Genomic DNA, 24,519 nt, shown 5'->3' with positions numbered 1-24,519 from the left:
TTTAAGAGATGGGAAAGCTAATGAATGAATGTATTTCGTATTTTCTGCATTGTGTCCTGAGTCTTCTGGTAGCAAGAGAAAAATAAATCCTTCCAGCTGTGCCTGCTCTGCTGTCCTTCCAAACCCTCCAGCCAGCTTCCTCCTTGGTCAACTTCATTGTTTTTGTTCCTTTGTGCACTCTATATGAAGTCATCAACAGAGCCTGGAAGAGGACACATGTTCCACAAAGAAGGGGCCGTGTGGCAGAGAGGGAGGCACCAAAACATAGAACCTCACCCGAGAACTCACTTGCACCTGAAGGACAAATCAAGTACCCTGGGGAGCCCAGGCCCCTCTCCTACCTGAATCACAGGTGCACACCCAAGTGCTGTGGGGAGCCCAGGGCAGGCAACTCTTCTACCTGAATCCTGGGTAAGCATCCAAGGCAGAGAGCCCCTGTAGATTCTCCAAGAAACAAGCAAAGTACCAAGATTTGCATCTTTAGAGAAACTCCTCCAGGCCTTTTCAACGTGCTATGTCTGGTGAACGAATGTATGTACTATGTAATATTAAAGATTTTTAGTGGCCAGGAGGTGGGGCTGGTGCAGACCGGCATTCACCAGGGAGAGAGTCGTCCAACCAGGATACACATCATTTCGAAAGCTCGCTTTTTTATTGTGGAAGTCCTGGGATAACACAACGTCTCCTGGGCCTGCATCCTTAACATTTTTCTTTCTATTCTTTTGCAAAAGAAGAGCCTTAAGTAACTAAATTGGACATTTTAAGACACGATAACATGGAACTAAAGAGAAATACTGCACGTGAAATTAAGATGCCCACAGCAGGAAAGTTGAGTTTTTAAACAAATTAGGTTTTCATGTCCTGGATTCCGTAAAGGATGAGGATTGAATAAAAGCATCTGGGTAGCCGTGTTCCCAAGTTGTGTTTCCCTTGAACAGTGGTAGCTGCACTTCCCTGAGTCACCAGCCCTGGTCCCCAAATTCTCAGGAGAGTGTGGTCCTCTTTGCACATGGGATCCCATCCCTCATCATTGACAGACAATCGCCATCCCCTCCATCAACATCCTGCCTGGGATGCAGCTCAGGCCCCTTGTCTTCCAAACAGGCTGCTAACTCCTCTAACGCATGAACCCCATCTCAGAGAGGTACAGAGCCGCAAGTGAGTTTTTTCCTTGATGGAACATGGATCAGCAAGTTTAGAGCAGGCCACCAACCCAGTTTCGAGCTGATGCACAATGACGTTCCCATTTCCAGTCTGGATTTGGAGGCAGGGACGGTAAAGGAGAAGAATCACAGGCCTCCAGCTTCTCTTGAGCAAGACACAAACAAAGGCTTTTTATTATTTTGTTTCTGGTATCGAGATGTTCCGGAACGTACCCTCAGGCCCACTCATCAAGCCTTTCCAAGACCAGCGTGACTCTCGGCCCAGATTTGCTTCTGACTCTCAGCCCAACTTTGCTTCTGTCCTCCCCTGGCACCGTGCATTGGGCACAGGGAGGAGCGCTCGGACCCACCTGCCCGTTGTGTATTCCTTGTGCACGGTGTGCACCTTCCTGAGAACATCTCACTCAGCAGGACCCCGTAGCTCTTGTGTGCGCTCATGCGTGCACATCTCTGCAGCTCCCTTCTACTCTGAAGCCATCCCCCTGCCCACTCCCAACCCCCAGAGCATACGCCAGGCTCTGCGCACCTAATCCTCAACCTGGGCAGGACCCCTCACTCCATTCATTCTCTGCTCAAGCGTCATTTCTTCAGATGTCCTTCCCCATCCTCTTGCTTCCTTCTCAGCACCCATGGTCAGCAAGCCCACATCTGCTGTCTTGTGTGTTTCCTGCCTGCCCTCCCCTCCCCTCCCATGGCAAGCTTCATGGTGACAGGAACTGCCTTGACTTCTTCCCCGCCACATCCCGGTCTCTAATGTGGAGCCCAGCACGTGGGAGGCTCTCAACAAGTATTTGTTGATTGAACGACAGATCCACCAAAGTGCCACCCCTTGGTCTGGCCTCCCTACTGTGTCCAGGAGGAGGCATCCTTGTCTTCTTTGTTTGCTAACCATTGTTGTACAACAGCTACATGCAGTGTTATGAATGGCTGTCAGTAGATTTGTCTCCTTGGCTGGATGTGGATGGTGAGTCCTCCATTGTCTCCTTGGCTGGATGTGAATGGTGAGTCCTCCACAGGAGAGACAGATTCTAGTCATTCTTATGTCTCCAGCACCCAGCAGAAGGACTGCAAACAGCCAGGACTCAGTAAATGTGAGGGCAACACGAAGGACCCTGCAGCTGCCCCACATGATACCAGCTACGCAAAACCATCTGCGGAGCGTGTGCCTCTGGGCCGTATGCCCGTGACCTCCAGACTTTCCATCTGCAGAATGGGAACAACACTGGTCACCTGTCCAGTAAATCGTCCTGGTGCCAGGGGTTTAGTGGCAACTGTACCTGCTCCGTGGCTAGGCCTGTGCCCTACTTCCCCCCATGGGTAGATGCTACGTATTTAATAACTCACAGCTTCAAAAATGCCTGAAAGCTTTCATCAGAATGACCTTGAAGACTCATATTTGTATCAAATTCATGGACTATTAACCCCAATTCTTGGAAAAGAAAGAGCATCGCCCTTCCCTGCACAGCGTTGGCCAAAATGTTACTAGATCTAAATGCAGACAAACAAAAAGACACTCAACAGGACCCAATTTTTACAAGGGTTTGGATTCAACCTTCTTGAGAATCTGTAAGCATCACTTCCAAGTAGAACGTGCTGGAAGCCCTGATGTGCACAGGGTGGTGCACCTGAGACCACTCCTCTGGCCTTGCAATCCCCCTACACTGGCATGGCCCTCATCCTGGCCTACATAGCTCAGCCCAGTGTCCAGCCCAAATCTCACCCTGGAACACCACCCACTTGGACTAAGGTTAAATGAGCAACAAGTCTGAGGGCATAAAGTGGCCCGGGACTCTTGGCCAGGGACTGCTAGTGGGATAGAGAGCATGGGGGCAGGCAGGACCCACTGTGGGACCCCCCCAGCCCAGGAGTCACCTGCCTTCCGGTTAATATGGCAGAAACATCCCCGGAAATAATTTAATCCTGGTAAAATACACGACATAAAATTGACCGTCTTAACGTTTTGAAGCGTAGAGTTCTGTGGCATTAAGGACATTCACGCTGCTGTGTGACCTTAACCACCATCATCTCCAGAACTCTTTTTCTCCTCTCAGACTGAGACTCTGTCCCCACTAAACACGCACTTCCCACTCCTCCCCTCGGCCCCCGGCAGCCATCGTTCTGCCTTCCGTCTCTATGAATCCGGCTGCACGAGGTTCCCCGTGTAAGTGGAGTCATAGAGTGTTTGTCTGTGACCAGCTTAGTTCACTCAGCACCGTGTCCTCAGGGTTCATCCATGCTATGGTCCCTATCGAGACAACCTTCCTTTTTAAAGGCAGAATGACATTCCATCGTGTGTGTGTGTGTGTTGGGGGGGGGTGATGGTGTGTGTGGGGGGGGTGTTTGTGTGTGGGGTGTGTGGTGGGTGTGATGTGTGTGAGTGGGGTGTGCTGTGTGTGTGGTGTGTGTCAGAGTGGGGTGTGTGTGTGGTGTGTGGGAGGATGTGGTGTGTGTGGGGTGTGGGGTTTGGGGGGTATGTGTGGGGTGTGGTGTGTGTGTGGTGTGTGTGGGAGGGATGTGGTGTGTGTGTGGTGTGTGTGGGGTAAGGTGTGTGTGTGGCGTGTGGGGTTGTGGTGTGTGTGGGGTGTGTGGTGTGTGCATGGGGTGTGTGGTTTGTGTGTAGTGTGTACTGTGTGTGTGGGGTGTGGTGTGTGGGGGGTTGTGTGGCTTGTGTGTGGTATGTGATGTGTGTGGGGAGTGTGTGGGATGTGGTGTGTGGTGTGTGCATGGGGTGCGTGGTTTGTGTGTGGTGTGTGCTGTGTGTGTGGGGGGGTGTGGTTTGTGTGTGGTATGTGATGTGTGTGTGGGGTGTGTGGTGTGTGTGTGGGGTGTGTGGTGTGTGTGGGGTGTGGTGTGTATGGGGTGTGGTGTGTGTGTGTGTGTGTGTTGGGGGGGGTGATGGTGTGTGTGGGGGGGGTGTTTGTGTGTGGGGTGTGTGGTGGGTGTGATGTGTGTGAGTGGGGTGTGCTGTGTGTGTGGTGTGTGTCAGAGTGGGGTGTGTGTGTGGTGTGTGGGAGGATGTGGTGTGTGTGGGGTGTGGGGTTTGGGGGGTATGTGTGGGGTGTGGTGTGTGTGTGGTGTGTGGGAGGGATGTGGTGTGTATGTGGTGTGTGTGTGGTGTGTGTGGGGTAAGGTGTGTGTGTGGCGTGTGGGGGTGTGGTGTGTGTGGGGTGTGTGGTGTGTGCATGGGGTGTGTGGTTTGTGTGTAGTGTGTACTGTGTGTGTGGGGTGTGGTGTCTGGGGGGTTGTGTGGCTTGTGTGTGGTATGTGATGTGTGTGGGGAGTGTGTGGGATGTGGTGTGTGGTGTGTGCATGGGGTGCGTGGTTTGTGTGTGGTGTGTGCTGTGTGTGTGGGGGGGTGTGGTTTGTGTGTGGTATGTGATGTGTGTGTGGGGTGTGTGGTGTGTGTGTGTGGTGTGTGGTGTGTGGTGTGTGTGGGGTGTGTGGGGTATGTAGGGTGTGTGGTTTGTGTGTGGTATGTGATGTGTGCGTGGGGTGTGTGGTGTGTGTGTGGCGTGTGTCGGGTGTGTGGTGTGTGTGGGGTGTGTGGTGTGTGTAGGGTGTGTGGTTTGTGTGTGGTATGTGATGTGTGTGTGGGGTGTGTGGGGTGTGTGGGGTGTGTGGTGTGTGTGTGGGGTGTGTGGTGTGTGTGGGGTGTGTGGGGTGTGTGGGGGTGTGTGGGGTGTGTGGGGGTGTGTGGTATGTGATGTGTGTGTGGGGTGTGTGGCTTGTGTGTGGGGTGTGTGGTTTGTGTGTGGTATGTGATGTGTGTGTGGGGTGTGTGGTTTGTGTGTGGTATGTGATGTGTGTGTGGGGTGTGTGGTGTGTGTGGGGTGTGGTGTGTATGGGGTGTGGTGTGTGTGTGGGGGGTGTATGGTGTGTCTGTGTACACACCACGTTTTGTCGTTTTGTTTGTTCTGCATTTTATTTTTTGAGGACCCTCCGTACTGTCTTCTATAGCACTGGTTTACATTCCCACCAGCAGTGCCCAATGATTCCAATTTCTCCACATCCTCACCAACATTTATTTTCTGTGTTTGTTTTGAGACACAGTCTCACTCTGTTGCTCAGGCTGGAGTGCAGTGGTGTGCATAGCTCACTGTAACCTCAAACTCCTGGACTCAAGTGATCCTCCTGCCTCAGCCTCTCAAGTAGCTAGGATTATAGGCATAGGCCGCCACACCCTGCTACTTTTTTATTTTCATTTTTGTACAGATGGCATCTCACTAGGTTGCCCAGGTTGGCCTCAAACTCTTGGCCTCAAGCAATCCTCCCGCCTCAGCCTCCCAGAATGCTGGGACTGCAGGCATGAGTAGGCAACCTCATAGGTGTGAGCTGGTACCTCTTTCTGGTTGGATCTGCATTTCTCTGATGGGTGGTAGTGTCAAGCATCTTTTCATGTGCTTGTTGGCCATTTGTATATCATCTTTGTAGAAATGCCTATTTAAGGCCTTTGCCTACTTTTATGCAGGCTATCTAATTTTTATTGTTGAATCATAGGAGTCCTGCATCTCTTCTGGATAGTTCTCTCCTATCAGATGGATAATTTGCCGATACTTTCTCCCATTCCACAGGTTGTCATTTCATTGTTGTGTTCTTCGATACAAAGGAGTTTTTAAGTTCGACGTAGTCCCATTTGTCTATTTTTGTTTTCCTTGCCTGTGCCCTGGAAGTTTTATTGAGAGATCCCAGATTGTTCCTTTTGAAAGTATGAAATTCCATCTCCGTGGCAGTAAACAAGCTGCAGTGGCCTGTGCCAGCACCGCTTGTGAAATCCCTTCTTTAAAGTACTCCTCACCGCACTTGGACCTATTTCCCATTCTGTGCAAACAAGTCCACGTTGCTCGCTTCGGAAGCAGGCTTTGCAGGAGTCGATGCCTTTCTCTCAGTGGCGTGCTCCCCAGCCTCGTCCTTTGCAAGGAAACCACTTAAACTGCCAAGCATTTGCTGCCCGCGCACCTACCCGTGCCATCTGCTGCCTGATGCTGGTGCGGACGACACTGTCTCTCACAACCCAGACACCGATGCCAACTGACCCCTCTGAGATGAACTTCCTTTCTCTAGAAAATGCGAGAGAATGCAGGTGGATGCCACCTCCATCACTGGACCATCTTGAGAATCAAATGGACACAAGCCCCTGCACCGGCCGGCACGCAGCGCTCCCTCCAGCCTTGCTGAGCCGTGGGCTTGTGTCCCGGCCCTACCATGCCTGTGGATCAGCCCACACTGGCACCACACTGAGCCCAGCCAACAATGCCCGAGTGTGTGGGCAACAGAGGATACTGGTCATGGTGGCAGCTGGTGATCACGGACAGTCACCAACCTTGGAACACGGCTTGTCCCACAGACACAGTCACAGCCAGGACTGCTTGGTGTCCACTGTGGGAAACAGCATCTTCCATCTCTGTCTCAAGAAGGGCCAGTTTGGTTTCCTGTGGTCCCATAGAATGATGTAGGGACGTGGAATGGGAGGAGACTGGGATCCGTCTGGCCATACCCCTTGAGTCTGCCTGACTTAGCCAGTCCCCCATCCCCCACTGAGGCTCTCCACCCTGCCCCTGTCCGAAGTGGGCAGGCTTGGGTTTTGTTTTTTGTTCTTCCAAACCCTGCTTAGCTGTGTCATCTGGACAGAAGCCCGACGCTTACCAGAGCAGGCTGGGGGGCGGGGGGCTCCCGGCACTTGGGCAGTCAGGTTTGAGACCTGGAGCTCACCAGCTTGTCTGCACCCCAGAGAGGGCCCAGGGGCTGTACTAGACGATGTCTAAGGGCTTCTCAGCAGAGCCCCTGGGAGCCACGTGCAGAAAGCCTGACCTCCTGGGCAGGTGCACCCAGAGGGAACCCAGGGCACGGGGCTGATGTGTGAGGGATGCCACCTTTGTGGGGCACTGCACTGGTCAGGGAGGTAATTCCGGAATGCCAGCCACCTTCCTAACTGCAGTGTTCCTTGGAACTTCCATTATACTGCATTTATTTTTTCTATCTTTCTTTCGTTCCACGTTTCCCGAGCCTCACTACATGCAGGAGGGTGGCCCCTCTCATGCCTTCCGCTGACCACAGTCTCTGCTCCAACACATTCTTCAGCCCACCTGCTCCTTCTGCTGGTCCCAGGGCCATCCGGCCATCCCCAGCCTTTGCCTCCCACTTCTCTCCCTCCCGCCTTCGAGGGATGCCCCTCAGCTCTGGGAACGGCTGCTTCCCTCCTGGCCTCCTAACTCACCATCAATTTCTTTCTGATGAGGATGTGACTGCCTTTTCAGTTTCTAGTTTCAGGGCACTCAATACCTAAGGGTTCCATGTGGCATCTGCCTTGCATCCAGCCTGTGCCCCAGCCTCGGCCACCCCTCTGTGATCTCAATCTTCGGACGCCTGCTTGCTGACAGCTCCTCCGTGCCAGGCCTGTGCCAAAGTGAAAATATTCTTTCCTGTTTATCAAAGGGTTCCCAGCCACAACTCTCTCCTCCCAGCCTCTTCCTCAGCCCACACCACCCCGGGAGCTGGCTGGGACTTCTCTTTATTGTGCCCCTGCCCCCAGAGCCACTGCATAAAGCCTGGTGAGAACTGGGTATTTTACTGAGGAGTGTGTGTGTGTGTGTGTGTGTGTGTGTGTGTGTGTGTGTGTTGAAGGCAGGACATTTTACTCCCCAGAATAATCTTCCATCCCAGATCAGATGAATCACTTTCCCCCAAGATGTCTCCAGGCTAGGCTGTACAGTGGCTTCCCCCTCCCTCCCTGCCTCCCTCTCCCTCTTTCTCCACCTCTACCCCTTCTCTTCTGCAGAAGAAATTCGGGGGTTGTGGCCCCTCCAATGTTACAGCCAGCCTCCTTCCCTCCAGCTGCTGGCTTCGAGGACGGAAAAGGCCCTCGAAACAAGAGGCTGGCTCCTCTGTTTGGGGCAAACACAAGACCCCCAGGCTGCCAGGTGCGTTCTGCTTGGAAGGCAGCCAGGGAATTGTAAATCACAGATGCACAGAAAACATGCGTTTGCATCAGACACAGTGTAGTTTCTTGGTGTACTTGGTGGGGAAACAGAGGCTCCCTCCATGACCCCCACTTGTGCAGGGCATGGGCTGAGCCGGGCATCCGGATACATGACAAGGACACAGTCCTGAAGGTGCTCCCGGGGTGACAGGCAGACAAACCGTCGCAGCTGCCAGGCCGCTAGGGGATATACGAGGCCTCAGGAGTCACCACAAATGCCAGCAGGGTGGTTAGAGGCTCCCCAAGGAGGGGACACTGGAGGTAGTCCTGTCGGGCACAAGGGAGATTCCAGTCAAGGGAGAGCAGCGTGAAGGCATGGAACATGAAGGCGCCGTGCTTTTCTTTTTTTTTTCCATGGTGGAGTCTCGCTCTGTCACCCAGGCTGGAGTACAGTGGCGCGATCTCAGCTCACTGCAACCTCCGCCTCCCGGGTTCAAGCAATTCTCCTGCCACAGCCTCCCAGGTAGCTGGGATTACAGGCACACACCACCATGCCCAGCTAATTTTTCTATTTTTGGCAGAGACGGGGTTTCACCATGTTGGCCAGGCTGGTCTCGAATTCCTGACCTCGTGATCTGCCTGCCTCAGCCTCCCAAAGTGCCAGGATTACAGGTGTGAGCCACTGTGCCTGGCCGAAGGTGCCATGCTTTAAGAACAAGCATGTGGGTTTGCTCATCTCCTCACCCCTGTTCTTACTGGCAACTGCTCCAAGTGCTGGGTACAGGGTGAAAAGGACAGACATGCTCCTGGCCTGGGGAGCTCGCCATGGAGGGTGCCCAGGGCTCAGAGGCAGCTCACAGAAGAGCAGGCAGGGCCCGTGCCATGGGGAACCTGGGCGGTGCCTGGCAGGCCTGGCCATCCTGCTGGCAGCAGGTGAAATGGGGGTAAAGGAACCTACATTCAGTGGGTCCCAGTAACACCAGATGCAGTGTGGGGTGCATCGTCCATGCTATTCCATTAACAGGTTAAGCGACGGAGTCAGATCAGTGACTGGGAAAGGTACCCCAGGCTAACCACACAAAGAAGGGCCTGAAGAGGGGACAGCAGATCCCGGGAGATGGGACCAGGAAGAAGGGCCGATCCGACCCCGGCGGGGCACTGTACGGTGGAGTGACTGGAAAGGGTTCATCACAGCGAATGGCATTTCCACCACACAAGGTGACATCGCACAGACTGTGGGGATTGCTTCCTACCTACACAGAGCATCTAAATTGGTGTATTCACTGGCACCACGTATAAAAAGGGACCTCTGAGCAGTGGTAGTGAGGGTTCTCTGGGTTAGGGGATGCCTGTCTAATGCCACAGCAAAAAAAAAAAAAAGTTCCAAAAGACCAGATGGCACAGCTGGCCCTGGCCCTGCAAATTCAAAGACTCAACCTGCAGGCATGTGGCTGGGCCACCCAAAGCCAGGAGACGCCAGGTGGGTGACGTGAGTAGGGCAGGGGTTTGATCTGCTCACTTCTGGACCCAGAGGCTTCTGTGCCCAGGCTGAAGCTACCCGATCTCCCGCAGGGAATCCTGACACGAGCGCCTCAGGCCTTGCTCCCAACACAGGAGCACCTGAGAGCAGACTGCAGGGGTGTAGGAACGCCAACAGGTGCCCGGCTGGATCCAGGCCCCCCTCACTCTCCGGGGTACTCCCTGCTGCATGGGGAGGTCCCTGTGCGCCGTCGTTTAAAGCAGAGAGCCCTGACATAATGACCCGACTCAGTAGGATGGGGCCATACTTGGCATGGAGGGAAAAATCTCATTTTTTAGATAATTGGACTGGCTGGGTTTGCTTCCTGGCTCTGCCCACAGCTCTGTCTATGCTCTCAGCTGAGGAGTTACGTAGGTCCCTCAGTTTCCCCTGCTGTGAAATGGGGGTGAAAGCACCCAGCTCACTGGACCATTCTGAGGATGAAAATAATTTTGCTTGCCCAGTGCTTGCATGCTTGCTGGGTGGACTTTCAACGAGTGGAGTGACCCCGTGTGGCTTTGCCATCGTTTCTCAAACCCTTTATGTCAGTTTGCAGGGGGAGAGAAGAGGCCCCTCGGGTGGCCAGGCCCACCGAGCCTGGCAGTAGATGCATCCTCCAGGTCCTCCCGGCAGGCCTTCCGGAGCTCTCTGCTCCTGGCGGATCTCCAGGCCTGGCCTGGCCACACACCCTGCACTCTGGACCTTCCAGGGGTCCCTAAGGAGAGGAAAACCCCTCACAGATGCTCAGAGAAGGGGACAGCCCCACAGGTGTTTCCCAGGGTAGGGTGCAGGCCTGGTGGGTGCCTATACCAAGTGGACCCCGCGGCAGGGTGGACCCCAGGGCAGTGTCCCCACAGAGCAAGCCACGGCCCCGCACCCTCCCACCTCCTCTTCTCCCGCACCTCGGAGGGTACCAGCCTCTGGGCCCCTGTCCTGCTGGTCTTGGCCGGGCCGGGTGGGCTGCCTGGTGCCCTTAGTTCTCCCCTCCCCAGGCTGACCTGGCCTGGGGGCCGGGTGGGGCGCGCCTTGGAACTGGGAGCCGCCTCCAACCCTGCACTCTGCTCCAGGCCTGGCCCATTCAAACCTTCCTGCTCTGTTTATTTGCACAGCCAGAGGACAAAAAGCCACGGCTCTGAGTCACTCCTGCTCCCAGTCGGCTCTGATTCATGCAGGAGGCCCGCGGAGGGGACTAACCCTGGCAGTTAACCTCTTGGTTTCTTTATGTCTCTACAGCAGTGAGCATCTGTGTCTTCGAACTGAGGATCAGGCCCCGATCGCCGCTCACAGTCGCGTGCTTGGGGTGTAATGTGGAGAAGAGAGGATACCACGGCACAGCCCGAGAGGTCCCCCCTCACCTCCAGCCCCTTCCCCCCATGCTGATGGAAACTTACAAATATTTCAGTCATCTCTCCGAAAAGGATTTGGTCATCTGGCAAAGGTGGTCCCAGAATTTGCCAGAAATATGCGTCAAATGTAGCCCAGGGTGTAAAGGAAGACAGGCTTAACGAAAATTAGATTATGGCGAAGAATCTGAAAGGAAATGAGAGATTCTGTGCCTGGTTGGTCTCCAGCCTCTGGGGAGGTGCCGCCTGGTGCTTCCTCCCTGTAGGTTCTGGAGAAGCTGGCACACAGGGATGCCCCCAGGATAGGGGGTAGACCTACTCTACGGCCGACCTCTCCTCAGTCCCACACATTTGTCATTCATCATACAAGGCCAGGGGGACACGTGGTTTTCATTTTTGATCCTGGTAAAAAGTGAATAAAACGTCTCTAGTAGCTAAGAAAGGGCTTTTTCTAGCTCCACTGAGTGAGTCGGGGTCAAAGCACCTCTTCTCAATTTGGGTTCGGGGAACAGCTAAGGGGTTCATTGAGGTTTTTTCCCACTTGCTTCCCCAAAGCTGAAGTGGTTTATGGTTAACAACAGATATCCCCAACTACGTAGAGAGGAGTGAAAAAAAGGCAGAAGAAATGAGGATGCTAACACTAACAGTGTGAGGATGAGCGCCAGTCCCATCATGAAGCGCCATTTGGGAACTGCCCAGCGGGTAAAGGCCAGCCAGGAGAGCTGAAACCGCACAGCCCTCACTGCCAAAGGACGTCGCCAGCTCCATCAGGGAGCCGCGCTGGTACATTCCGGGTGCATCCTTCTGAATTATCCTAACACGAAAGGCCTCTTCTGAAAATGATGGACGGGCATCTTTAATGTAGATTGCAGAAGATACAAAAATATATTCTGAAGGCCACTCTTTTGTATTACTTCAGCAAGTACCTAAGTCCTAACACCGAGTGGGGGTTGCGGTGAGGGCATTCCTATGTGGATGGCAGCTGTATTTTCACTGCACCACCTTATGATGGGACTGGGAGTAGTTGCCCTTCTCTGGAGGGAGGGTCGGTCAGCATGTGCCTGCCACACTATCTTTACAAAGCACTGGGCACCTCTGGATTTGTGTTCTCAAATTGCAGAAGTAATACAGGGCATCTGTAGAAAATCTAGAAATTAAAAAAAAAAAAACATAAGAAGGAAAGGAAGCTCTTTCATCAACTTTTGGTCCAGAGACATTCATTCTTGCCACTGTCTCTCCAGACAAACACACCCGTGCATGCACACACACACTTTGATCTTCCAACCTGAGATCGTATGAACTGCTCCATCCTACAATCATGGCCGTCACTTTATTAAACATCCACTTACAACACACATTTGCTGACTGCATAGTGTTCCAGCATATGGACCAAGCAGAGTTTATCCCACCTATTTCCCAGGACATTTTAATTTTGTCGCCAATATTAATGAAGCTGATATGAATTTCTTTGTTGCTCGGCAGCTCTGCCATTATTCACTTAAGATAATTCCTAGAAGTGGAATTGTTCATGCAAAGGGTATTTCCAGTCCTAGATCTTTTCTTACCTACCATCAAAATTCCTTTAGAAAGCTTGTGCAGCTTTTCTTCCCTCTGGCAAATAGGATGGCCTGGTTCCCCCACCTTCCTCAATACTGGGGTTTATAATTATGTATTTTTTCCAATTTAATAAAAAATAATATCCTTCTGTTTTATTTCTAATTCCTTAGATTATTGTTGAAGTTCAACACTTCACGCGTTTATTGACCAACTGAATTTCTCCTTTTATGAATTCATATTTTTTGCCCATATGGGGTAATTGTCTTTTTAAATTTTTTAAAGGCCCTTTTTCTAGTAAGAACATTAACCCATTGCAAAACAGATTGTAAATATTTTCTTCCTGGTTCTTCTAAAATTTTTGATTGTCATAGTTTTTTGGTATATAAAAGTTTACAATTTTAATTTAGTGAGTTATTATTTTGCTATTTTATTTATGATTGCTGGACTTGGAATGGTCAGCTTTTGGAAGCAGATGGTCGGAAAGGCCTGCATTAGTAAACACCACTTCAGCTCACTGGATGTTCACCACTGCCACCTGTAAGACACTGGCCTGATGTCCCGCTGTGTTCCGTCCACGTGTGGTTGTGGTGTTCCGTCCACAGCTGTGACTGTCCCTGCTGGCCTGGGCCATGGCACCTCAGTGGGATGAAATTATAGTAGGCCCCCTTATCCACAGGGATACACACCAAGACCCCCAGCGGATGCTCGATCCCAAGGATGGTACGGAACCCTATATATACTGTATGTGTTTTCTGTCTGATGACCCAGAGACTGGGGGGATGGAGCGGGACAGCTCGAGATTTCATCAAGATACTCAGAATGGTGTGCAATTTAAAATGTATCAATTTTTCTTCTGGAATTTTCCATTTAATAACTTTGGACTGTGGTTGACTGTCTGTAATTGAAACTTCGAAAAGCGAAACCATGGATAAACGGGACGGCTGTAACGGGATTCACCAGGAAGCCTGGCTTTGCTGTTAGTCAGGTGGTGGCAGGTGTGCTAAAAGGGACGCTGACTCAGTGCATTCTCTGACACCACGGTCTCACCTTCAGGGATAGTGAGATAGAGATAGGGAGGAGGAGTGGAGGAGACAAGGGCGGAACACTACCCCCACCGGGCGCCTAAGGGTGCCGACTTGCCTCAGAGCATCCAGATGGTGTCTCTGAAAGTCAGTTGGAAAATCAGTGATGGAGGTGCCCTTTCTAGTTACCCTACACTCACTGGGCGCTGGCTCCAGTGTCCCCCCAGGCATACAGAGCACAGGCTGGACATGGTAGAGCCTCCAATTTAGTTACCACGAAGCAGAAGTGGCCGGAAAGGAGAGCAGAGCATCCCCCAGGAAAAGCAAGTGTGCTGTGCTACGAATGTGAATATCGTGCTCATGAATCAAAGCAGCTGGGCTCTGCGCCTCGGCAGCTGTGGGAAGAACCCCTGCGGCGGTGACTGATGGGGGCCATGAGACCAAGATGTGTCTGGCTTGAGGGTGACCCATGTTCCTGTCAAGCCGACTGCACAACTTAACTAAGGAAGAGGCCAGGGCCCCGGCGGCCAGTCCTCCCATCTCCATCTGGAGTCCTCTCTCTTGGCAGCTTTTGGGAATCTCTTTCCCTTTGCACCTCCTCCCTGGTGGCTTCCTCTTTGCTCAGCAATGGGACTGGGAATGGGGGAACAGCAGCATCACACAGAACAGTTTTTTGTTTGTTTGTTTGTTTTGAGGTGGAGTCTTGCTCTGTCACCCAGGCTGGAGGGCAGTGGCGCGATGTCGGCTCACTGCAACCTCCACCTCCCAGGTTCAAGCGATTCTCCTGCCTCAGCCTCCCGAGTAGCTGGGATTACAGGTGCCCACCACCTCGTCCGGCTAATTTTTGTATTTTTGGTAGAACCGGGGTTTCGCCATGTTGGCCAGGCTGGTTTCAAACTCCTGACCTCAGGTGATCCACCCGCCTCGGCCTCCCAAAGTGCTGGGATTACAGGCGTGAGCCACTGCGCCTGGCCCGGAACAGTTTTTGTCTGCTTTTGGCAACTCAACCCTTGGTGAGATCCTTTGGGATTTGCTCCAAGTTCTCCTGATCCCTCAGTTTGGATTCTGAAAATTCAAACAATCCTGGAGCCCAACACCATCTCTGGGGCTTCTATCAGTGTCTCAAAATCTGGCTGAATAATGCCACAAAGGTGATGATGTCTTAAAAAGAAACAGGATGGGGTCATGGCTGAGGGAGCACTCAGAGCAGCTCTCTGGCCCATCCCTCTTGGGTGGGCGGTTTTGACAGTGTCTCAAACACAGGTGGCTGAGGAGCATGTAAAGGGTGCACAGATCAGGGAGGAAGAAAAGAAAAATGAGCAACCGAAGGAAAACACACAACTGGTGCTGAACGAGTTAGTGCCACCCTCCTGATGTCTCCAGGTGTCTCCCTGTCTTCTGGGAGCAGCACCTGCACACACGAAGAGCAGGAATCCCATGACTCTGGAGGTGGCACCAACCCCTTGAGGGCCTCTGAGCCCAGAACCAGCCTGAAGCGGTCCACCGAGCGGGCAGACGAGCCCTGGGCTGTGGACAGCCTGCTGATGGAGGCGAGAGGTGTGCACTCATGGGCCACCCTTGTGTGTCTTCCCATCAGGTACCAGACTCCCCCACTACAGATATGGCAAATGCTCCTGGCTCTCATCTAGAGGCTGACTGCAAGCAGCATGGAGGCTTAGCGTGAATCCCTCTCTGCCTCGGCCCCCAGAGGGTGAGAACTCAGTCTACTGTGGAGAGGCTTCAAGAGGTGTACTCAACATGTCACAAAAAGCAGAGGGCAGGCAAAAGAAACAGTGTGCCTCAGAATTGTTTGACACACGTGTGCGTGCATGCATGTGTGTGTGTGAATAAACACATTAGGAACTAGATGTCGAAAATGCTCTTAGGCACAACTAGAAGAGTTGGATAAGTGCTGAAGCAGGAGGATAAACTGGATAACATCTCTGAAAAGTGAGGGATGGGTGAACGCTTAGCCCCTTAGCCCCTCCACCCCCAACTGAACACCTCAGTTACCAGAGATGCACATGGTCTGGGAAGTAGGATTTTTTTTTTTTTTGGTGATAGTAGTAAGATACATACAATATAAAATTTATCATTTGAGCTTTTAAAGCATAGTGGAATTTAGTGCATACACCTTGTTGTGAAGGCATCATCACTACCTAGTTCTGGAGCGTTTTGTATTATTCCAAACAGAAATTCCACACCTGTTCAGCACTCACCCCCGACACCCCCTCCCATGAAGCCCGAGAAGCCTCCAGTCTCCTTTCTGCCTGTATGGATTTGCTTATTTGGGACATTTCATATAAATGAAATCCCAAATATCACAATATGTAGTCATCTGGCTTCTTGAGCTTAGCATAATGTTTTCAAGGTTCATCGATGCTGTAGCACATATTACACTTTTTTTTTTTTTTTTTGAGACGGAGTGTCGCTCTTGTTGCCTAGGCTGGAGTGCAGTGGTGCAATCTCGGCTCACTTCAACCTCTGCCTCCCAGGTTCAAGCGATTCTCCTGACTCAGCCTCCCGAGTAGCTGGAACTATAAGCGCCCGCCACCACACCCGGCTAATTTTTGTATTTTTAGTAGAGATGAGGTTTCACCATGTTGGCCAGGCTGGTCTTGAACTCCTGACCTCAGGTGATCCACCCGCCTCAGCCTCCCAAAGTGCTGAGATTACAGGCGTGAGCCACTGTGCCCAACCTCATTTGTTTTTATGGCTGAATTACATTCCATTGTACGAATGGGCTACGTTTTACTGATCCTCAGTTCATGGACACTTTGCTGTTTCCGTCTTTTGACTATTGTGAATAATGTTGCTATGAACATTCATGTACAAGTTTTTGTTTGAACAAAACTGTTTTCAGTGTTTTGGGGTATATACCTAGCAGTGGAATTGCAGGGTTATATTGGCTCTTAGAATTCTAGTAGCCAGAGGGCTATAAGAAACTTAGTCCATTATTTTACAGACGGGGAAACTGAGGCCCAGAGAGGCCATGACTTGCCTCGGACCACATGGGAAACTGCAAGGCTGAGGGCAGAAAAGTGTTCTCCACTGCTTAACTTGAGTCAAGACTTAACTTCAGTCAAGTCTTATTCTGAACCGTGGATCCCCCAGACACAAGACAATGGGTTCTGACCAAGAGAGTCACTTGGGGAGCTAGCTTGCCTCTCGCAAAGTCAACAGCCTTTGGTTTCTGCCTAATTAAAATTTCCCAAATTAGAAAAATACCACCTCAAAAAAGCTTACTAAAGGGAAGAATCCCATATGACTTATTCCAGAAACAGTGACTTCAATTAATTGCAAAATCTGTTGTAGAGAGTCACACCGATCATGTATAGTCACAAGCATTTAAAAGTTCTCAGAATTAGTTAATTATGGTTTCACATTGTGATGAACCAAGTAGGAGAAAGCCCGGTGGATGCGCCCAGGGAGGCAGAAATGCACAGCAGCTTCACTTTCTGCCTCCCCACTTCCTCTTTTCCTCTTTCTGGTTAGAAAAAGTGAAATTATGTAATTAACATTCAACAATATTTGCAACTTTCAGGAAACAGTACAACACAAGCTGATTGTCCAAGAGCCTGGTACAGAGAACCCCCAGGCCAGTTGGCTTTGGAGGAACCAGCCGGGAGGACAAAGTCTGTCATCTGCCCAATGTAATGGTGTTGGTTTGCTTGTTGTTTGTTTGTTTGTTTTGAGATGAAATCTCGCTTTGTCGCTCAGGCTGGAGTGCAGTGGCGCGATCTCAGCTCACTGCAACCTCTGCCTCCTGGGTTCAAGTGATTCTCCTGCCTCAACCTCTTGAGTAGCTGGGATTACAGCCGTGTGCCACCACACGTGGCTAATTTTTGTATTTTTAGTAGAGATGGAGTTTCACTATGTTGGTCAGGCTGGTCTCGAACTCCTGGCCTCAGGTAATCCACCCACCTTGGCCTCCCAAAATGCTGGGATGACAGGCATGAGCCACTGCGCCCAGCCTCAATGTAATATTTTATTGCCGTTCAAAGAGCTCTGCTATTCAAGCAGAAGGATGCTTTACGAGACAGACAAGATGGTCGTTTGGCTTCTTTCAGCAAAGACAGGGCTGGTCCTGCTTCCTCTGCAAACCGCAGCAGTGGCCTGGCCTGATCGTCTCTTGGAAGCTGTCTTTAGATGAGCCAAGGCTTTCAAAGTGATATCTGACTGCAGGTTTAGATCTATCGCTATTAAATCCAGGGGGAGGAAATCAATGCTGAGTTACCACTTCCTTTCCTTAACCTTGGCAAATGCTGAGCCGTGCTGGGCTCATGCTCAGACATTCATCAGCACGAGCTGATAGGTGACTTGGGCCTTAGCGAAGATGGGCTCCAAGGCCCGTCCAGCCTCAGGGACCAGGGAAGTGCCAGGGTGGTGGGACAGCTACTTGCAAACAGCCAGCAGCGTCCTTCCTCTTGCTCCCCTCTTCCTCTCTCATGGGAGGGCCCGCCCGTCATGCAGGGGCACCATGCCCATGGTGCCCCTCCCCTGAACAGTCTCAGGCCAACCCAAGCTCCCTCCAGTGGTCCTTGACCCCAGGCACAGCAGATGGCCCCCTGACCACCTTCCTCTGGGGGCCTCTGCTTTCTCTGGCATCTGAATCACCTGCGATTGTCACAGGCCCCTCAGAGACACGGCCCCCTCTGGGGCTTCTTGGACACACTTTGCTGGGCAGTGTTGATGCCTGGGACCAAACAGGAAGGGAAGGCACCTGAGGTCCTCTTCAAGTGACTGTGTCTGCAGCGGCCTCCCTCGTGGCACTATTGCAGCAGTGTGGAGGGGCCCTGCTGGATTTTCACAGTGTTGTTTTTCTGAGAACGGCAGGAAGGGTGCTTTTTCTGAGAAACTGCTGTCTTCTATGTCTCTGAGGGACACTGAGGAAGAGGTGCCGGGTCTCCCATGGCCAGCAGCAGAGAGAGGCACACGGCCCCAACACAATCCTGAAGATAAATACAGAATGGGACCTATTCTTAAGAGACCTGAGTCCCTTCCGTAGCCCTGATCCCTTGTGAAATTCTTCATATATCACTTGACCTATTCACATCCTAACCTTCTCTTTTATTTTGTCCTTCATAAAAAAAAAACTTTTCCATGTTATAAATTATAAATGATAGACTAATGTACACAGGGTTGCTGGGGACGCACATGGAAATTACATTGTTCCACACTGAAATTACATGATATTATTCACTTGTGAACTGTAGTAAAACAAGAAAGGAGATGACATACAGCAACACTGAAACGAGCAGAGAGGTGAGTAACCGTGCTCATCTTTTGCCTGTTGTTTAATTAGAAGGAAATCTCTATTCTCAGAAAAAAATAGTCTGAAAGAAAGTTTTGGAATTAGCAATAATTTAACACCCAGTAAAATGCCCTTCAATTAATTCTACCCTTCCAATGCTGCCAGCTCGCATGGGCCACCTGGACCCTGCCTATTAACACCTTCGCAGTCACACAAGACGGGACCTCAAGATAAGCTCTCTCCTGACCCTACCTCGGGGGCCATAAAACGCCAGTCCTGGATGCACCCCCTCTGCCACAGCCACCGCACGGCCCCCAGGGAGTTTGGGGATCGTGGAAACAGGTCCTTCTGCACCAGAGAAATCAACAAAAACAGGGCACCCTGGGATTCTTAGGGTACAGATATCTGTTTGGAGCACTCCTGTTCTGGTATCAGTGAAACAATACTTTTAGAAAATAGTAACATGAGCCCACGAAGGAGAGGGAGTCGCCAAGCACACACTGAGGCGGGGGTGCTGAGCACACATCTATGGGCCGCACGAGGCTTCGGGAGCCCCTAGATGACCTTTGCTCAGAGGGTCCTCGGCCATTCTGTATTTACAGTCTGTATTTCCACGTGTGACTGAGCTATCACGGGACCTGATGGTGGGCTTCTCGTTCTTCCTCTATTACTTTTTTATAAAGTGAAACCTCAAGCGGACTTCAGTTAATCATGTTTTTAAAAGATGCTGTTTCAACTAAAGAATATAGAAGAGTATATGCAGGTTTGGGGGAAGCGGTAGGAAACACTTGCTGGAGAAGAAATGTTCACCAGACAGAAAACAAGGAATGCGAAATGATCACATCTTTCTCTCCTAGCTTCCCATCTACGCATGCAGATTATCATGAACGAGAGGAAAGCCAGGCGGCTGGGCATATGTTGAAGATGTTGACTAGTTAGAAACCAGTATATATGTAGTATGCAATTTGGGATTATTTGATTTCAGGAAAATTAATCCTCAATGAAGACACTGTTCGCCCATTGGTGTCAATGATGTGAACAGAGACGTGTAGATGCCCGATTTGAGAAAGAGGAGTATGCCTTCTCCTCCTTCCTTTCCCTTCCCTTCCAATTTGCGGTATTTTAGGCATTTCCCAAAGAAATGATAACTGCCTTATTCTGTTATGTATCAAGACAAAACAGTCTCCCTGAGACTGAGATTTAAAGTTCACACAAACTTTCCGGAAGGGACCCAGTCGGTATAGGTTTTGCCAACCCTGCAGGCTAGCTAGCTTGCGCTGCGCCTGTGCACTCTTCCGCCGAGCTAAAAGTCTGAGTTGTGGAAGTAAAGGACAAGTCGCAGGTCCAGGGAGTCCACGCAGGCAGCCAGCTTGCCACTCCGAGCCCTCTGAGCACCGGCCACACGAACCACTCAAAGAGCAGAGATGAAGGAAAGGAAACGGTACTTGTAGATCTCGTGATTCAAAGAAAACGCTGCCTGCTTGCATTTTCACATACAGAATATGCTAATTCAAAGTAGAACAGACAAAGAAAGCTGCCGTGGCAGCAGAGCCCGAGATTGTACATGACTGGCCTGTGCTTTCCTTTAGGAGGTTGTTCATGCTCCAAGCTGTCCCTCATGGAGCCCCTGCCTCGGAAGCGGGCCAAAATCTCTCCACCCTTCAGCAGGGGCATCTACTTACAGAGATTTAACAGAAATGCTAGGGTGGCATTTTGTCTGGATAGCGACAGAAAAACAGTAGTAACGACGAAAGTTTCAACATTTTTTTCTCCACGGGGAAGAGAGCAAAAGGATCTCTAACCCTCCCCTCTCACAGCAAAAGGCCAAAAAGTTGCCCTAACCCCTCCTGGGGGGAGCTGCTCTGCCTGGTGCTCCGGAAAGACTCTGCCTGTGACCACACCACAGACCTCAGCCACAGGGTGGGGTCTGATGTTTAGTCAAGGTCGAAGGGTTAATACAAATCAAGGGGTTTGCCCAAATCTTTCCCGTCAGTCGCACACCAGACCTGCACATCCAGAGACACAGAGGTGAACCGTCTGTCAAATTAGACAGTGAGAATTAGGACTCTAATGCCAGACCACATAACAAAATTTACCATTTCCTCCCAGAAGATACTGATGGCTATTTTTTTAAGGCAGAATGTGAACTAAAAAGACAGGAGTATTTTCCAGGATAATCGAATGTGATAACCGAAAGCTCTTCTGAGTTCAACCCTGTCTTTCATTTCAGTGAAGGGAAAATCTGAACTAAAGAAAGGAGAGATGTGTCCAAGTTTAAAGGCACTGCTCTTCGGGTCTGAGAAGTAAAACTATAGTTCTCCATGAGGCTTCGACAGAAGCTGGGTCATCTGAATCTTTCCCTGGTCAAATAACAGAGGAAAACAATATTAGGATAGAAAACCGCTCAGTGAGGGACAGCCCCGGTAGACAAGCAGACACTGCACTCAGCTCACGCAGCCGCGCTCTCTCATCTTCATCACCACAGGATCATCATATTATCACACCACAGTTGAGGATGAAATAGCCCAGATATCTGAAGCACGTCAGATACCGTTTGGGTTCAAAATGACTCTATTTTTAACTAAGCACTAAAACATTTTCCTCATGCTGGAATCAAGTTATGTGTTGGCTTTTCCAATTTCAGATCCAAGTCTCTTTTCGAAGTGACAACCATTAATAATCGCTGAAGAGAAATCACACTGTGCCTCAGTTTACAAGAGCTTAAAATTCACCTTGTTAATGCTACCGCCCTCATTTCCAAATCAGCATTCAGGTAAGGCATAGTTTAATATCACTCAATCTCATCCAAAGGGTTACTACCAAACAAAAACAGAAAATATGTTTCTAAACAATTATTCATTAAAAATAACTATAACTGGGCTTAGGGTTTGAGTTTCTCTCTCTCTCTCTCTCTCTCTCTCTCTCTCCATCTCTCCCTCTCTCCTTCTCTCTCTCCATCTCTCCCTCTCTCCCTCTCTCTCTCTCTCTCTCTCCCTCCCTCCTCTGCTATATCCTCTCCCTCTCACTGCTTATGGCTCCAAATACTAAAACTTCAATCTCTATACTTCTTGGCGAATAATTTTTATAAATCATTGGCTTTAGAATTGTGTGTGTATGCTTAATGAAAGTTAATATAAAATTAGTATCTTAAAAAGCAAATATAACACAGGTATCAGTTTAAGGTAGATATTTCCCAAAATTTTGTGTAAAATATTTTCTTTATTAGTATAGGAATAAATGTATTGCTATTATAATTGGTATTTCACCTTTCATATTTCTGGGATACTATTCTTTATTTAAGACTTACAGGGAACCACTTCTAATTAGTTATATATTGGAAATATATTGAGATTCCTCAAATGGCGTCAGAAAAAATATGTGGAGTTTTGCTCAAGTCACATTTTTAGTTTATTACTCTGAGATAAATCTTAGTAGTAATTTCTTAGATAATTTGCTTATCTAAATATATAGATTTAATACTTTTGTAGAATATCTTTTTTATTTTAATTTTGAGATAATTATAGATTCACATGAGGTTGCAAGAAATATTATACAGAGATTCTCATATCTTCACTCCCTTCTCCCAGTGATGACATCTTGCAATTATCATAATCAGGAAACTGGCGTCAATATCGTCCCCAGACCTCATTCAGATTTCACCAGTTTTACATACACTCGTGTGTACATGTGTGTGCACGTGCATGTGCGTGTGTGTGTGTGTGTTTAGTGCTATGCAATTTTATCACGTGTAGACTCAGGTGACCATGTGGAATATCTTTTTAATCAGTTTCTGTTTGTAGTGTTTCATCTTGCCTTTACGTTTGAAAGCATCCATGTCTGTATCTCTTAGATTCTGTTTCTCCTTTATGGTTTTCCAGTCCTTGGCTACAGTAACTTATTCATCTCTTCTTTGAATTTTATTGCCTCATTTGTGAACTCTCTGCTAGCGGAGAGTTCTGTATTTGGTTTGCTTTTTGCAGCACATTTATCCTTTCCCAGGAAAAGACACAAACATAAACAGACATTCCAGCATGCATTCACAGGGTTTTTAAAGACACCAGTGAGAATAGATTAATATAAATACTAAGCTTAAAAACCGTCATAAAAGTTCAGCCTTTAAAATTGGCTTATTAAAATATTTGTTTTTTTTAAAGCCCAGATTTAAACTAAAGTTATGAGTTATAGTGCTCTGCTCAGAAAGAGTTTACTTTATGTGTGTGGTGTTTTTTTTTCTTTTTTTAAATTTTTTTGCCAGGCAAAAGGAATCCGGCATCTGTGCCGTCTACCCAGAACAGAGTGAAGCAAGGATGACAAGAACATGGTTCAGCTCAAGATCTGTATGAAAATATGAGTTTCAGGAAACCTCAGTGAAGTATTCTATCTCAAATGGCCTCAAAGAGCCACTGAAGTCTGAGGAATTCCCTCTCCAGCAAGATGAGTAGCAAGACTTCCCTGATGCAAGGCCGAAAGGACTGCTGATATTTAAGGGGAAAGACCCACATTAACAGGTCAAATCCCTACATCAGATCTTATTGATGGGTATTTTGTAACCAAACATTGCTTATATTCCAGGGAGCTCAGCCTTTCATTCTACTTCTTCTAGGCAAGCAAAAGCTCCATTGGGATTCTGCATTTCTGTTCTTCTCCACGAAGAACTGATTTTCTAGCATCCTGAATACAGCAGTTAACAAACACCTATGAGAAGTAAATTTTCAGGAGGGAGGAAAAGGCTCACATATATTAGATGGTGAAGGGGTCATGCAATTTCTTCAAAGTAGCTAAAAGTTCTCAGAAAAAAAAAAGTTTGTTGAGTGAGGAAATCTACTGAAAATCTGTGCACACTATGCAGAAGTTAGAGAAGATGTTTTCTTTAACCACACAGCAGGGAACAGGACAAATGTCTGATAAGTAATGGTCACCTTCCCCCACCCTCCAAGCCAGGTGTCTGGGACCCTGCTCCGAAGACTCAGGCATTTAATGAGAATACTAAAAAAATCCTTTTGAGATTTTTCTATTAGATGAATCCAACTGACTGGACAAAGACACCTGATTTATTGTCTAATTGTGCTTTTAAATACCAGGCCAAAGAAGAAAGGCAGGATAGATATCGGCAGCACCCGCACTCCACCATCTCTTGCGTTTCTCTTCCTTTCAGAGGACAATTTAGGCTTTGTGCTGCTGTTGCTGTTAGTCTTGACAGTTTTCTTCACATACGTGAAAACATCCCACATCAAACATTAAAATCACTTACAATGTACTGAAATGTCTAGAGATTCTTTGCTGATGCATATAATTAATGCTTCTTAGAAATGCTACAAATAAAAACAAATGCTGTTTAGCAACATTTTCAGGAAATCAAACCAATTATAATCGTATTGATCTTATAGGGAATAATGAGTTAAAGACAAAAAGAATGACAAGATGTCTGCCTAACGTGCCTGATAAATAAAAACAAGGTGTGTCCAGAATCATTCATGGATAAAATTTTTCCATATTTCTTTTCTCTTCTTTTAGAGTATCTATTTAATGAAACTAGCTTGTTTGAACTACTCAGTTATAGTCCAGTATGTAAAAATAAAAATAAATAGGCTCCTTATAGATCATCAGCTCTCCCACTAACTGTGTAATTATCTATTATATTTTCAAGGGCTTTTTTCCAAACAAGCTCTTGGCACTGTTTTTATTTATTTATTACATGTATTGCATTTTATTTTTCTATAATCTTTAATGGTTACCTATGGCTGA

At 49.0% G+C, this 24,519-nt stretch overlaps 1 protein-coding gene across 3 annotated transcripts in view, besides 8 other annotated features; it reads right to left on the bottom strand.

Annotated features, from left to right (window-relative positions):
- Positions 1 to 24,519, bottom strand: part of TWIST2 (twist family bHLH transcription factor 2) — a 62,450-nt gene that overhangs the window by 35,385 nt on the left and 2,546 nt on the right. Inside the window, exon 2 of one of the 3 annotated variants that reach the window (XR_007069137.1) lies at positions 8,142 to 24,086. The exons of the other annotated variants lie outside the window; for them this stretch is intronic. The gene's annotated coding sequence lies outside the window, so the exon portion shown is untranslated. Of the gene's footprint in view, positions 1 to 8,141; positions 24,087 to 24,519 lie in introns of those variants that run through there. 3 annotated transcript variants of the gene reach the window in all.
- Positions 1,812 to 2,316: an enhancer, noted in NCBI's record as "NANOG hESC enhancer chr2:239781475-239781979 (GRCh37/hg19 assembly coordinates)". NCBI's record gives its function as "activates a minimal SCP1, AML or CMV promoter by ChIP-STARR-seq in naive and primed H9 embryonic stem cells {active_cell/tissue: H9 hESC(naive and primed)}" and the evidence as "EXISTENCE:reporter gene assay evidence [ECO:0000049][PMID:30033119]".
- Positions 9,761 to 10,378: an enhancer, noted in NCBI's record as "H3K27ac-H3K4me1 hESC enhancer chr2:239773413-239774030 (GRCh37/hg19 assembly coordinates)". NCBI's record gives its function as "activates a minimal SCP1, AML or CMV promoter by ChIP-STARR-seq in naive H9 embryonic stem cells {active_cell/tissue: H9 hESC(naive)}" and the evidence as "EXISTENCE:reporter gene assay evidence [ECO:0000049][PMID:30033119]".
- Positions 10,648 to 10,942: an enhancer, noted in NCBI's record as "tiled region #8511; HepG2 Activating non-DNase unmatched - State 1:Tss, and K562 Activating non-DNase unmatched - State 22:ReprW". NCBI's record gives its function as "activates a minimal TATA promoter and a strong SV40 promoter by Sharpr-MPRA in HepG2 cells. with weaker activity in K562 cells {active_cell/tissue: HepG2 | K562}" and the evidence as "EXISTENCE:reporter gene assay evidence [ECO:0000049][PMID:27701403]".
- Positions 17,521 to 18,020: an enhancer, noted in NCBI's record as "H3K4me1 hESC enhancer chr2:239765771-239766270 (GRCh37/hg19 assembly coordinates)". NCBI's record gives its function as "activates a minimal SCP1, AML or CMV promoter by ChIP-STARR-seq in naive H9 embryonic stem cells {active_cell/tissue: H9 hESC(naive)}" and the evidence as "EXISTENCE:reporter gene assay evidence [ECO:0000049][PMID:30033119]".
- Positions 17,774 to 17,943: an enhancer, noted in NCBI's record as "experimental_57470 CRE fragment used in MPRA reporter constructs". NCBI's record gives its function as "activates a minimal promoter by MPRAs in K562 erythroleukemia cells, with activity observed for both the introgressed and non-introgressed 2:239765933 variant alleles {active_cell/tissue: K562}" and the evidence as "EXISTENCE:reporter gene assay evidence [ECO:0000049][PMID:34662402]".
- Positions 19,079 to 19,269: a silencer, noted in NCBI's record as "fragment chr2:239764522-239764712 (GRCh37/hg19 assembly coordinates)". NCBI's record gives its function as "represses an EF-1alpha promoter that drives an FKBP-Casp9 reporter gene in an ReSE screen in K562 erythroleukemia cells {active_cell/tissue: K562}" and the evidence as "EXISTENCE:reporter gene assay evidence [ECO:0000049][PMID:32094911]".
- Positions 19,713 to 19,882: an enhancer, noted in NCBI's record as "experimental_57458 CRE fragment used in MPRA reporter constructs". NCBI's record gives its function as "activates a minimal promoter by MPRAs in K562 erythroleukemia cells, with activity observed for both the introgressed and non-introgressed 2:239763994 variant alleles {active_cell/tissue: K562}" and the evidence as "EXISTENCE:reporter gene assay evidence [ECO:0000049][PMID:34662402]".
- Positions 20,081 to 20,250: an enhancer, noted in NCBI's record as "experimental_57450 CRE fragment used in MPRA reporter constructs". NCBI's record gives its function as "activates a minimal promoter by MPRAs in K562 erythroleukemia cells, with activity observed for both the introgressed and non-introgressed 2:239763626 variant alleles {active_cell/tissue: K562}" and the evidence as "EXISTENCE:reporter gene assay evidence [ECO:0000049][PMID:34662402]".

Source organism: Homo sapiens, chromosome 2 (assembly GCF_000001405.40).
Source record: "Homo sapiens chromosome 2, GRCh38.p14 Primary Assembly".
Classification (NCBI taxonomy): domain Eukaryota; kingdom Metazoa; phylum Chordata; class Mammalia; order Primates; family Hominidae; genus Homo; species Homo sapiens.
The sequence above is the reverse complement of the archived record's forward strand: the minus strand, read 5'-3'. Positions and strand labels throughout refer to the sequence as shown.